This window comes from Homo sapiens, chromosome 1, assembly GCF_000001405.40.
Source record: "Homo sapiens chromosome 1, GRCh38.p14 Primary Assembly".
NCBI classification, from domain to species: domain Eukaryota; kingdom Metazoa; phylum Chordata; class Mammalia; order Primates; family Hominidae; genus Homo; species Homo sapiens.
Window position 1 is genome coordinate 72739596 of NC_000001.11, and position 13579 is coordinate 72753174.

General features: G+C 34.8%; 1 long non-coding RNA gene across 5 annotated transcripts in view; it reads right to left on the reverse strand.

Moving 5' to 3' along the window:
- Positions 1-13579, reverse strand: part of LOC105378798 (uncharacterized) — a 69237-nt gene that overhangs the window by 42145 nt on the left and 13513 nt on the right. For 4 of the 5 annotated variants that reach the window (NR_188687.1, NR_188686.1, NR_188684.1 and 1 more), the window contains one exon: positions 9571-9681. This is a non-coding gene — a long non-coding RNA (uncharacterized LOC105378798). Of the gene's footprint in view, positions 1-9323; positions 9682-13579 lie in introns of those variants that run through there. The other variant, NR_188688.1, reaches the window with a different exon arrangement.

Genomic DNA, 13579 nt, shown 5'->3' on the forward strand with positions numbered 1-13579 from the left:
GAGCATTTTTGCTTCTGGCTTGTGGTTGTGTTTCTAATAAAAGCCATCAACAGGAGATCAAAAGACAGAAAGATAGTACAAACAGGGCATTTAGTCTTTAGTTCCCTCCAGCTGGGCCATTTTGGTCTTTACCAAAGCCACAGCTCCTGTCAAGCTACATTATCGAGAAACTACAACTGTGATCACTGGGTGACAGTCATTTCTCCTTCCTCTTTCCCCTTCAGGCCTAGAGGAGGCAAGATCTCTTTTGCTGCAAGCCCCAGGGCGCTTCACCAATTGTTGGTCATCTGTAATTTTGCCCACACTTTTTAACAGTTTCTTTACTAAACTCTCCTAAATTACCCATTTGAGGGTGACACCTCTTTTTAGAAAACAATCTGATATACAAAATATGCAAATGTTAATATTTGAATGTAAGTTTTCCTTTCAAATTAAATGAGATAACAGTCCTGCTTTACTGACCATGGTTAAACCACCTGAGATAGCTGAGATAATTATTTGGCTCTGGGGTTGATTTCAACAGGAATGAAGTATAGAATGGGGGTAAAAACATGGACCCCAGAGCCCCTAACTGACACATCAAAAGACAGGCAAAATTTTACTATTTTTATTTGTATTTCACTCAATATAAAGTGAAATGTTTTTAATGACTATAATTATCCAGGGGTAAAATAGCATCCTTTTGAGATAATGCATACCTTTTTGTTGGAAATGTTCAAGCAGAGGCCCAATCAATATCATCAAGGCTTTCTGAGGACTATTGCAATACTTGGTAGAATTTGAACCTAATTTGTTCTCAGGTCTCTTCTTGCTCTCTTTTGATTATTTTAAGATACTATTTGCATGTCTTTCTAGAACAGGTTACTAAAATGTTAGGAAATGCCTGTGATAATCATAATCATGGCATGATATAAATTGAGCCTTTTGAGAATAAAAATCTAATTCTCAGGGAAGACATTTGCAAAATTTAGAGATAGTGTACTACCTATTTTTAGTACCATTTTTATTTTTCAAAACAAATAAGTAAATTACAGCACACTTTACTGAAAGATAATAAAGGCCACAAGGTAGAAGATACTCTAAACTTTGCAGGTATTATGGGAGAAGAGAGAAAAGCAACTGATATTTTTGTTACACTATTACAAAGTCAGTAACTTCATATATAATTTTAATGTATTTATCAGGTTAATAGTAATTTAATATAATTTGGATTTTAATTATATGTAGTTCTTCTTCTCTTTAAAATATGAACTTACTTGGTCTTTTATCAACTCTTTTAAAATTTATATGCCAAATCCAAGAAACATAGAATACAACATATGTTTTGAACAAGTATATTTCTAACTTAATGATTTAGGAAGGAAACGTGCCTTCTCCTGCTGTCAAAACCAGCATTCTTTTTCTAGGTTTATGCAGCGAACCTATGCAATAATCCAATATCACCTAAATCACTTGGGCATGCTGCTGTCAAGTTGAAAATCATATTTTACACAATGGTGCTTTCCTTCAAAACACGAGAAAACAATAAATTTGCCTTACATTATGGGGAGAGTCTTAAGAAATACTATCAGTGAAAGAAGTCAGGGTCTGTTCTAGTTGCAGTTATAAAACTCATCAGCATCTTAACCATTCCAAGTGTCAAAAATCAAGAGCAGGTAGACAGCTCTCCTTTCAGAGACAGGATGAACTTTTTCACTGTGTGGTTCCCTTTGCTTTAATTAAATGCATCTCTGATATCTCTGGAATTGCAACCTTTTTGAATTAAAGTGTCTCTGTTCATTATTTAACTCTGAGTCCCTGAAAAGACAGTCTCATATGATATGTTCTCTGTAGGTACTAATTTATGATTGGCGTTCTGATGGAGAGCTGTCGGATGGCCTTCTTTCTCCCCTCCTCTTCTACATTGATTTATTGGTAGGAGGAAGCTGGCAATTGCAGTGGCAACTTTTTCCATTTAGACTTCACAGATACAGTGCACACCACTTCCAATGATTAAACAGAATGCAACTGACAGGTTTTCATTACTGAATCATAGAGAGGAGATGACACACTTTTTAATGGCATTGGCTTTTCCTTTCTTGGATATTTAGGTCACAAGTGAGTACAATTTTGGCAGCTCCATTCTATCCCGATTTGGACATATAAAAATCTTCTAATTTGGCACCCTAACTGCCAAATATTGAATGGCAGCTTTAGTTTCAGAGTGATGGATGATCCAAATGAGAGGCCCATTATAAATCAAGTGCATTCTGAGAGATATGGAAAGAAAGCTTCAAGTACTTGCTCAAACTCTACCTGATACCTGCTGGAATAAATATTGTCCTTAATGACTTTTTACAGAAGAAAATAGGTCAGACATATTTTAACACACATATAAGCAGGGTAGGATTGACAACAGATCTTATGTCAACCCCAACCCCTATTCTTCAGTCTATTTTTGTTTCTGCTTAAGTGCTTTTAGCCACTGGCAGAGCTAACAAATATTTTGACCTAAGATGGAGAAATGCAGAATTTAGTAGTAATGTCTATGGCAATTCAATTGATTTGACTCAAGTCAAGTTAATGGAATATGATCTAAGATCATGAGAATTGAATTCAATGAAAGTGATCCCTGGGTTTCTGTTGATGGCTTGAGTGTCATTGCTCAGCAAACCTATGCAATGAGATTTTATATATCTAACTTAAAGGGGCTATTCTTGAAAAATAACTAGTTATCTTTGACTAGTTGCAGCTTCCAAATGATTTTCTTAGACAGTTAATTTTCTAGATTGATTCCAGGCAAGTAGGCCTTTTTATTTTTATATCAGGATAGGAATAGTAAAAGACCACTGACAAAATTTTTAATGCAAAAATTTCAGAAATTATAATTCATCAATACATTAAACTCAACCTCCAGAAGCGTCTGCTATGGGCAAATTCTCTGCTATGTACTGAAACGAAAGATAACAATTTGAACTAGATAAACAGTTTCTTTACTCAAGGAGAAAATTAATAATGTAGTATTAAAAAGAATAAGCTCCATAATAAATGTATAACCCACAAACTATATTATCCTGCAGGAGAAAAAAGTGATTTTCACTTATCCACAAACCAACTCTCCCAAAGTCACCCCTTTCTGTGAGGATCAGAGAAAATTTCGCAAAGAAAAGAGCCTTGACCTAAGCCCAAAGATATAAGAACATGTAGGTTCACAGAAGTAATTTTAATTTATGTGAAGGTAACCAGGTTGCAGTGATTGACTGGAATACTTTAATAGTAATATGCATGAATATGGGTTTTTATAAGAAAAATTTCCCCACATCAGTCCATCCAGAGATGTACATAAATATTACAGCTATTTCCTTCAAAGGGCTTAGTCATATAAGAAGATAGTAAACACAGTTTTGTCCTCTTTAGAATATCTTAAGCCAAATAACATAATTAGATTTAGGTGCAGTGGTATTTATAATTTCAAGCCTAGTTTTCAAAAAGATAAGTGAACGTCTGAACAAAATTTTCAGTGAAAAATGGGATTTGGGTTCATGTTTTAGGTCACATATAATTACAACAAAAACAAAATCTATTACTTAAAATTAATACATCTGTTTATATTCGGTTCATAAAAGGTGAATTATTTTGAGACATACTAGGATTTTGTCTGGGAGGGAATGAAGCCACAGACAATCACCAGCATGGCTTAGCTGTAAGGCATTTTTTGGTCTATTGCCCAGTTAAACTATTGCAGCCTAGAGATACTATGGACAAAGAAGTTTAACTAAGAACCAACTTGATGGTTAGGAAGAGGTCTTTACACAAATGTCCCTGTGCCTATTTTCATGTTAGCTTTGTTAGACTGAACACTTGTACAATACTGAGAACAGAACTAACCAGAGATGCTTAGCACCAGTCAGTTCACATGCAAATAGGCACTGACCCAATAAGTTTAAATGCAGAGATGATCCCTCAGCAGACAATCACAATGTACCACTCTGGAGAGCTAGGATTTAATAAATTAGTCCTGCATCAATCCTGCTACTGAAAAGACTGTTTAGACTTGAAGCTGGCATTCACCTCAAATTGAGAGTAAGGAGAGCTTAAAAAAGTTGCCCAAACTCTACTCCAAGATGGGGCTGGAGGACTGGGATGAAGATATTAAGGAACAGAACAGAATGAGGTCTAATACTTGGCTCTTAATGTTAAAAAAAAAAACAAAAAACTAGATTAAATTAAAGTCAAATGCTAAATAATTTGTGTAAAGGAGAATTCGCTTAGATATCATTTGTTTTGAAACTGCTTCCAAGTCTTCCAAGACTTCCCTTCCAAAACTCTTCAAATATGGATAAAAGGATAAGTTTTGGAAAGGCAATATTAGACCCAGATATATGTAGGCAGAATAACTTCAAAGAAGCTTTACTGGGTTCCATGCCAAAGTTAGATGACAGAAAGATAGGTCATGGGACATTCAGGAGCCCCAGTGTGAGGATGTTTACATCGTAACAGAGGAGGCTGAGAAGCATCAGTTAGAAGAGGTTTGTCAGCAGTGAACTCACCAATACAGAGTAACTATCCTCAAAGACCAGATTAATGCCAGACACCCTATCCATTGCCATGAGCCTTCATTGGCCCAAATGCCACATCCTGAGTAAACAATATGGACAGGAGAGAAATCCTGAATGGGATTGTTTTTAACTGAAATGCCCAATAAATAATGCAAATGACTGAGTTCTCCCAGAAGTTAGTATTTGACATATAAATTAAGGTTTATGAAAAAAAGTTTTATGTTTTGCATACCTTAGTTAGCATGGAATGCCTATCTCCTTTCCTGTCCTTTTGCTGGGATTCCTGACCCATACAGACTCAAAGAGAAAATGCCATTACCCAGCAGCACTTCTGCCAATCAGATAAACCCAAGTGTCTGTATTTTGATTAAAGATAACTGAATCTATAAACAAACACCCACTGGAGGAATTAAATATTTATTTATATCCACTTATATGAATTAAACACATATTCACATCCACTTATATTCCCATGAGTATCAGGTACTACAGTTAGCATCATTTTTTTTCAAGGGTTGATTTCACTTTTTGTCTATTTTAGAAATTATTTTCAAGGTATTTATTTTGCAATGACACCCTTTTTCATTCCTAATTAATTCAATAATATGACTCAGCTCAACCTATGTAAGAATCACCTATGTGCAAGTTGTCTGATAGCATTTAATATGTGCCAGAACTTATGCAAGGCACTAAAGATCCAAAGATAAAAGCTTTCCTCCTTAAGGGGCTTCCATTCTAAAATGTGCTTCTTTCCTAATAGAAGTGCTATAAATTACAAGAGAGTCAATGGATAGAGAGGTGGGAAGAGGGAGTGATTATAAAGGCCTCTCTATTATGGAACAACAGGCAAAGGTTTACTAGGTCTTGTCTTTTCTCTGCTTCCACTAATCAAGTAACTGGCATTCTTCCCTGGGTCTGTTGCCTTTTGAGTATTTTCTGTGCTCTCAAAACAAGTCAGCTTGAGACATCTTCTTGAATGCCCTAGTAACTTATGAATGATGTGAGAGTAATATACAGATAAGGTAGCTAAAGATTAACCAATTTATTATAAGTTAACAAATTAACTGTGGTTGAAAGAGTTTTTGAATTTTTAATAAAAAATCCCTGAATTATGATTCTGGCTTGACTCCTCATAAACCAAATGTGATGGGAAGATATCTAAAGATGGCACCTGCTAGATTCCCATCCCCTAGTTATTAATTCAGACACTCATCTAAGCACTACTGTAAAGAAATTTTGCTGAGGTTATTAAAGTACTAATAGAACTGAACCTTAAGATACAAAGATTTACTTTGTAGGCCTGACCCAATCGAGTGAGCCCATTAAAAGCAAAGAGTTTTATCTGGCTGGTGGCAACAGAGGAAATCACAGATATTTGAAGCACGAGAGGCATTCAGCCATGTAATTGTTAACTTCAAAAATGGAGGAGTCTATATGCCAATAAATGTAGCAGCTCTAGGAGTTGAGAGCTGCCCTGAGCTGACAGCTAGCAAGAAAACAAAGACCTCAGGTGACAACTGCAAAGAACTGAATTCTGTCAACAATTTAAATAAGCTTAGAAGTGGATTCTCCATCAGAGCCTTACAGTTAAGACACATACCAGCAAATACCTTGATATCAGAAGCAGGTTATCCACCCATATCATGCCAGGCTCTGACCTACACAACTTAGAGTTAATAAATAGATGTTGTCTTATGCCAATAAGTCTGTGGTAATTTGTTATGCAACAGTAGAAAACTAATACATCAAGCAACTTTATTCAATTAAATTAGAAGTTCTGGAAGTCAGTTTCATCCTCTACCAATTACAAATGGAAATAATTATAATACATGTAGGCCTTTTCTGTTACTTGAATAAGTTGAAGGAAAATGCTTCCTGGAGAGTAAAATCTAATGCAAAGGTTATTGTCATTATTAATAGAACATCAACAGGGTATATATTATTGTATTTAGAATCCAGTTTTGGATAAGGCTGCTGCTAATTTTCCCACTGCATAGTCCTATATTCTATTCTATCCTTGTGCTGGGGTCTTTAATGCAATCCTGTAAAATTCCCATATGTCTCCTGTAGCCTTCCAATTAGAGTTTCTATTTCTTTAAGTGCATAACAAGTATGTATGTTAAACATTTTAATATCCTTTCTGCTTCCTTTAAAAAATTGCATCGTGTTTTTCTCCATCTTTATTTCTATTCGTGTAGTTAACCACACAGTCTTGGTAACAGACACCTTTAACAGACCGAATCAGCTTATGCAGCCATAAATAAATCAATTTAACCATGAGAATTCCCATATTTATGCAATGAAATGGGGCCAGTTCCCCTTATATCTCCACATAGAAACCGGCTATGCTCACAGCTGACTTTGTAGAGCTTCCCCCCATGACTGGACATTCAAACTCTTCAAGAGTTTTGGGATGAGAGAGGGATGTTGATTATCTGTTACAGGAAATACTATACTTGAATGTAATTTGAATATTGGGTATCTTGCCTTTGTGTAAAAAGTCCAACATTTGGTAACCTTAGAAATGTTATTATTCTGACATTATTATGTAAATATTATATTATACTTTTTCCTCACAAAACAGCATATGAGTTGTATTATTGTAAATATTTACTCAGTCTTAGTATAAAATTGGAAAATTGGGAAGTTGTAGACATATGGATACAACTATGTTCATATTGAGCCAAAAGTGTTGATCTTGCTTCTTGAAATGAAATGAAATTATTCTCTATGAGGATCCCATTCAGGATAGCTAATTGACTTTATTCATGTTTAACAAATGTTTTTATTAGTATCTGTTATTTCTAACAGACTAATTTCCCTTAATCCAAAAAAATTTTTGAAATCATGTTTCTGAATTTATATCCCAAATATGAATAATATATCCATTTCTAAATTATGCACTAGAAATATCCTCTAGAGAATGAGAAAAAATGTTGGACCTTTTGTAATTCTCTGCTTAAATAAAGCTTGCATCTGTAACATTAAATTGTTTCTAAGTGAGAACAAAAATATCTGAGTGCTTTTAGAATGTTAAATCTTAGGCAAAATATTCATATCTACTCCCAAAAGTATCTCTATATTTTCAGAAGCTTTGTCTGAGGAGATGGAGACCTACTTTCAAAAACTCTGTGACCTATAGGGCTGTTAGTTCTTTCAACAATTGTAAAGTTATACCACAAAGAAGCAGAAACATATCAAGAATGCATAGACAGCTGCCTTGCACTATTTGCCAATTACTGTGTCTGAGATTGCAGTCTGGCCTTCATGTACAGCTTTGCTGTGCTTGATATTATCTTTGATACTGAGACAGTTTTGAAAAAGTTGGCTTAATAGTCAATTAAATTTCCAACTATGAAAACTCATTGATTTGACTAACTTGTATTATACCATCGAGCTTATTCCCTGATTTATTTCAGTTTCTCATTGATTGACAATCATTAATTCCATATATTATTAAATTCCCTCTGGCTGCAGACTCAGTTTTCAAATTTAGAGGAGCCTAGCTAACCCACAAAACCTAGGACTCAGGATGCTATCTCAGTTGACATTTAATGGTAGTACATGATTATGATGTGAAAAACGTGAAAAAAAGAGGAAGTAGTAGAAACAGTCCTCTTTTAACATTTAGGTAGTTCAGTGGAGAAAATGATATAGCAACAATTTCCTCAACATTATAACACAGTATGTCTTTTGTGTGGCTGAAACTACATAGTGATTGGTACTTTTTAGGATTATTTTACCAGTTGCTTCTATCTTGTGTTTGTTGTTGTTGTTGTTGCTGTTTATACAGATGAAGCAAATCATATGCAAATATATTCAAAATATCAATTGCTGGTGACCCTGAAATTATGAAAGGCAATGCTGCGTTTGATTTTTCAAATATTTCAGCTGCACTGACTGCTGGGGATGAATGCAGGAGAAATATTAGCTCAAAAGTTCTCCAATTACTGTCCATATTTCCTACTATTTAAAATGTAAATGGTAGATTAATTACATCTATTATAAGAGAGAAGAAGGGTGTCTGTTATCTCTTTGTGTTGTCCCTTCAGAGCTGAGTGGCTGCTTACATTTTATTTTGAAAGAAGGAAGCTCTTTCCACACCACAGAATATTTCTCATGATAAAGGAAAATCACATATAATAAAAAATCAAGAAGCACTCCTTTTGACCATGGCTGATACCATGTAGAATATATCAACCCTAGATGATTTCATAGATTGCATGTTCATTTCACCTGTTTGCTAAAAGTTCATTTTCTGTCAGGTAAAGTACAAATTCTCTTTATGACATTAAAGCTCTATTCACAAGATAATCCAACCTATCATAGTTCTTTTTCCAGGATCTTATCAGCCACTTACTCCCTTCGCTGACCCATCATTTTCTTTCTATCCACCAAATGCCTCATTTACTCTGCACTCCTTCCCCCATGCCTTTGTTGATGGTGTTCTTTTTATCTGTAGAATCTTTTCTACCTGTTATTCCGTTTCTTCATGTAATGATCTTAAACCACTATTTCAAGATCAATTTAAATGCCACTACTTATCTGAAGCCTTATTTAATTTCTCATGGCAGAATTTCTTCGGTGACCACATCTTTTCTGCAGACATCTATCATGATAGAGATTCTGCATTATATACAGTTGCCCATTTTTTTGGCTGGTTCATCAGATTAGAGTATCCTTTAGGCCAAAGACTATATTTTATTTTTCTTTTATACTTATCAATATTCGTTAGTGTTCAAATAAATCCATTCTAACAACAAGACAGGAGACCCATAGGCACAATTGCATGAATATGATAGGAGTTTATTCTGTCCTCTGTAAAGTCATTAAAGGACTCAGGACTTTCCCACTTGATTTTCACAGGGAATGGTGGCCCCTATCTTCATTACTATCTGCAGAATGGAAAAAGAGGCAGTGCTGGGAAAACAGGTTTAGTTTTAAAGGGATGACCAAGAAGTTGTACACAATTTGGACACAATATTTATGCTTACATACGTTGGTTTAAATTCAATCTCAGGGCAGTACTTACCTAAGTACCTAGCTGCAAAACAGTCTAGGAAATATCTGTATCTTGGTGGTCAGATGCCAAACACAATTTTAATGGCGGCGGGAGCAGGGAAAGCGGTGATGTATTTCACTCCTTAAAAAGAAAATACGAATAATGGATATAGGGAAATGATTAACAGTTTCTCCCATTGTACATATATAGAGAATTTGGAACAGTTCTGGGGGGCTAATGAACACTGTTGAATGAGGGAATCAATGAAATTTATATAGAAATTGGCATGAAAAGGAAATCATATTTTCCAGATATTTAGAGAACTGTTAACACATGAGCAGACTGCAGTTCTATTGCTTAGGGTTTTCAATATTTTAGCTGAACACAATTATTATTATGATCCATTACACTGGGACTCATTTTTACCACCAAAACTTTATTGCTGCACAATAAGATCTCTCAAAACCAAAAGGGTTAGTAAAACTAATTGTATATTGTGTGAGTAACCTGGTTTTAAAATTATATAACACTTCATAGCTTGTAGGCATTTTGTGTTTAGCATTTTGAATGCCATTGTAATTAACTTCAGTGGAAACTTTGAGAATTTCATAGACAAATTGAAGTTGAGCAACACTGCAAAAATGTAGAGATTTCTGAACACTAAATAATAAGCAAATAATTTAGTTTCTCCTGTTAATAAAATCGTAGTTTTATAATATTAATTATGCATTAATTGTACATATTAGTTATAATTACCTGAGCATTTATAAACCTATTCTATTTTATAATAGCAATAGCAAGATTTTTATCATGATTTGATAATCCTTTAAAATGTTTCACTTTTCTGTTTTAATAGGGCTGAATGGGTAAGTAAATATGTTTAATTAATAACGTTTATCCTGAAATGATTTTTTAATTAAATAAGAAAACACAAATTTACCTATGATTTAGAATATCTGTAAACACTAGATGGAACTCTATTACTAATGCCAATACTAATACTCATGTATAACATATGTGCATGTGTGCATGGGTGTGTGTGCACAAACACACATAGGAAGGAAGCTATTCTATAGATTTTTATTTTTTTGACGGTGTCTTGCTCTGCCCCCCAGCTGTAATGCAGTGGCGCAATCTCGGTTCACTGCAACCTCTGTTTCCCGGGTTCAAGTGATTCTCCGGCCTCAGCCTCCTGAGTAGCTGGGACTACAGGTGCATGCCACCACACCCGGCTATTTTTTTTTTTTTTTTGGATTTTTAGTAGAGACTGGATTTCACCATGTTGGCCAGGATGGTCTCGATCTCTTGACCTCGTGATCCACCTGCCTCGGCCTCCCAAAGTGCTGGGATTACAGGCGTGAGCCGCTGTGCTGAGTCTCTACAGATACTTTTAAAGTCAAAATGCAAATATAGAATCTTGGTATTAAGCAGCATTGTCATCTAAGCACCATTTCTTGTTACGATTACATTAACAACTATCTAAAGCTATTTTTTCTAACCACTCCCACCTGCTTCAACCTCATGATTGCTTATGTGTCACAACACAAGAATATACAAGTAAGAAAAAGTAACTTCTCTTCAAATCCCTGATTTTGTTGTTCAAATGATCTGTGTACTTTTAAGATAGAGCAAGGGAACTTAAGATGATCTAAAACACCACAGTACATTTGACCCTTGAACAACACAGGTTTGGGCTACATGGATCCACTTATGTGTGGATTTTTTTTTTCAGTAAATATATTGGAAACTTGTTTTGGAGATTTGTAACAATTTTAAAAAATTTTCAGATGAACTGTGTAGCCTAGAAATATTGAAAAAAAATAGTTATGTGCTGAATACATAAAATGTTTATATACTAGTCTGTAACATTATTTACCATGATTAAATATACATAAATCTATTATAGTTAAAATTTATAAAAACTTATGCACACAAACACTTACAGACCATACATGGTGTTATTTCAGTCCAAAGAGATGTAAAGATGCACTGTTAAATCATAACTGCATAAAAGTAGCTTTAATACATACTATGCTATTATACTAAATTTGTAGCCACCTTCTATTGCTATTGTGGTGAGTTCAAGTGTTGAATCTGGTTAAAACATTTTGTGAAGGTAATTCTCTTCATGTTCATAGTTCCTCTCTTTAGTAAAATGCATATCACAGTAAAAGTGATCCCTCAAGTTTCTCACATATTTTTTATTGTGTTTAGTGCAATATGGTAAATTGCCAATAACAGGATGAGACCCATATGAAGTGCCACTTGTGATGCTGGATGTACCCCCAAGAAACAGAGAAAAATCATGACATTACAAGAAAAAATTCAATTCCTTGATATGTACCACAGAGTGAGGTCTGCAGCTGAGGTTTTTCACCATTTCAGGTTAAAACATACCAAGCCTAAAGACCATTTTTTTAAAAAAAAGAAAATTTGTGAAATCATCATTGTAGCTTATGCCAGCAGGCATGATAACCTTGCACTTTTTGCAAAATGCCTTTCATTTCATAGTGGAAAATACAGCTTTCACATGAGTGCAAAATTGCTATAAGAAAGTCATACCTAACAATTCTAATAGATTTGAGAAAAAGCAAAATCATTATATGACAACTGAAAGCAAAACAAAGATGAAAGATCTAGTGCTGGAGAATTTAATGGCAGTAAAGGATGGTTTGATAATTTTAGAAAGAGGTTAGGTTAAAAAATTTTAAGAATACAGAAGAGGCTTCTGCAGGCCAAAAGTATGAAAACAATTTCTCACATACCATAAAGAAAATCATTAAGGAGAAAGAAAATCTGTATAAAAAGGTTTTTAATGAAGACAAATGTGCCCTATTCTGGAAAAATATGCTGTGAAGGATATTTATTAGTAAGAAATAGAAGCAAGCACCAGAATTGTAGGCAGGAAGAGATAGGCTAACTCTACTGTTTTGTGCAAATGAAATTGGGTTTATAATCAGGATTGGTCTTATCTATAAAGCTGCAAAACTTGGAGCTTTGTAGGGAAAAGACAAACACCAGCTGCCAGTTTTTTAGTTGTACAATGGGAGATCTGGACAACGAAAATTATTTTTCTGGGTTGATTCAAATGATGCTTTGTCCCTGAAGTCAAGAAGAAGCTTGCTAGTAAGGAACCGGCTTTTAAAGTCCTTTTGTTATTGGACAATGACCCTGGTAACCCAGAACCTCATGAGTTCAAAGTGGTCTACTTGCCCCAAAACACAATGTCTCTAAGTTGGCCTCTGGATCAGGGTCTTGAGACCTGATCATAAAGACCTTTAAGGGTTATTACACATGACCTTAATTGAAAGAATTGTCAATGTTATGGAAGAGAACCCCAATGGAGAGAGTACCATGAAAGTTTGGCGGAATTACACCATGGACGTCATTGATGTTACAAAAAATGCTGTGAAAGGCATTAAGCTCCAAATAATAAATTCCTGCCAGAGAAAATTGTTTCCAGAAGCTGTGCATAACTTCACAAGATTTGTGATAAAGCCAATAAGGAAAATCATGAAAGAGATGGTGAATATGGCAAAAAGGGAGACAAGTGAAGCATTTTGAGATAGGGATCTTGGAAAAATTCAAGACCTAACAGATACCACAGCAGAGCAATTAACAAAAGATGATTTAGTGGAGATGAGTCCTTCTGAACCAGTGTCAGATGATGAAGAAAGAGCTGTAGAAGAAGTAATGCTGGAAAACAGATTGATATTAGATAATTTGCCAGAAGGATTCTGATAACCCAAAATTACTCTTGATTTTTTTTTTACTATAATGTGGACTCTTTTATGATGTGGGCACTGAAAGTAAAGCAAATGATGGAATTAAGGATAATTCAGACATATTTCAGAGGAAAATTACACCAAATTTGTCTGCCTCTCCTTTCACTCTCTCCATCTTTTCCACCTTGGTCACCCTTCAGGCAGCAAGAACAATCCCTCCACTTCCTCCTCCTCTTCAGTTTACTCATGTTAAGATCATGAGGATGTATATGTATTTTCCCTCCCTTATGATTTTCTTAATAATATTTTCATTT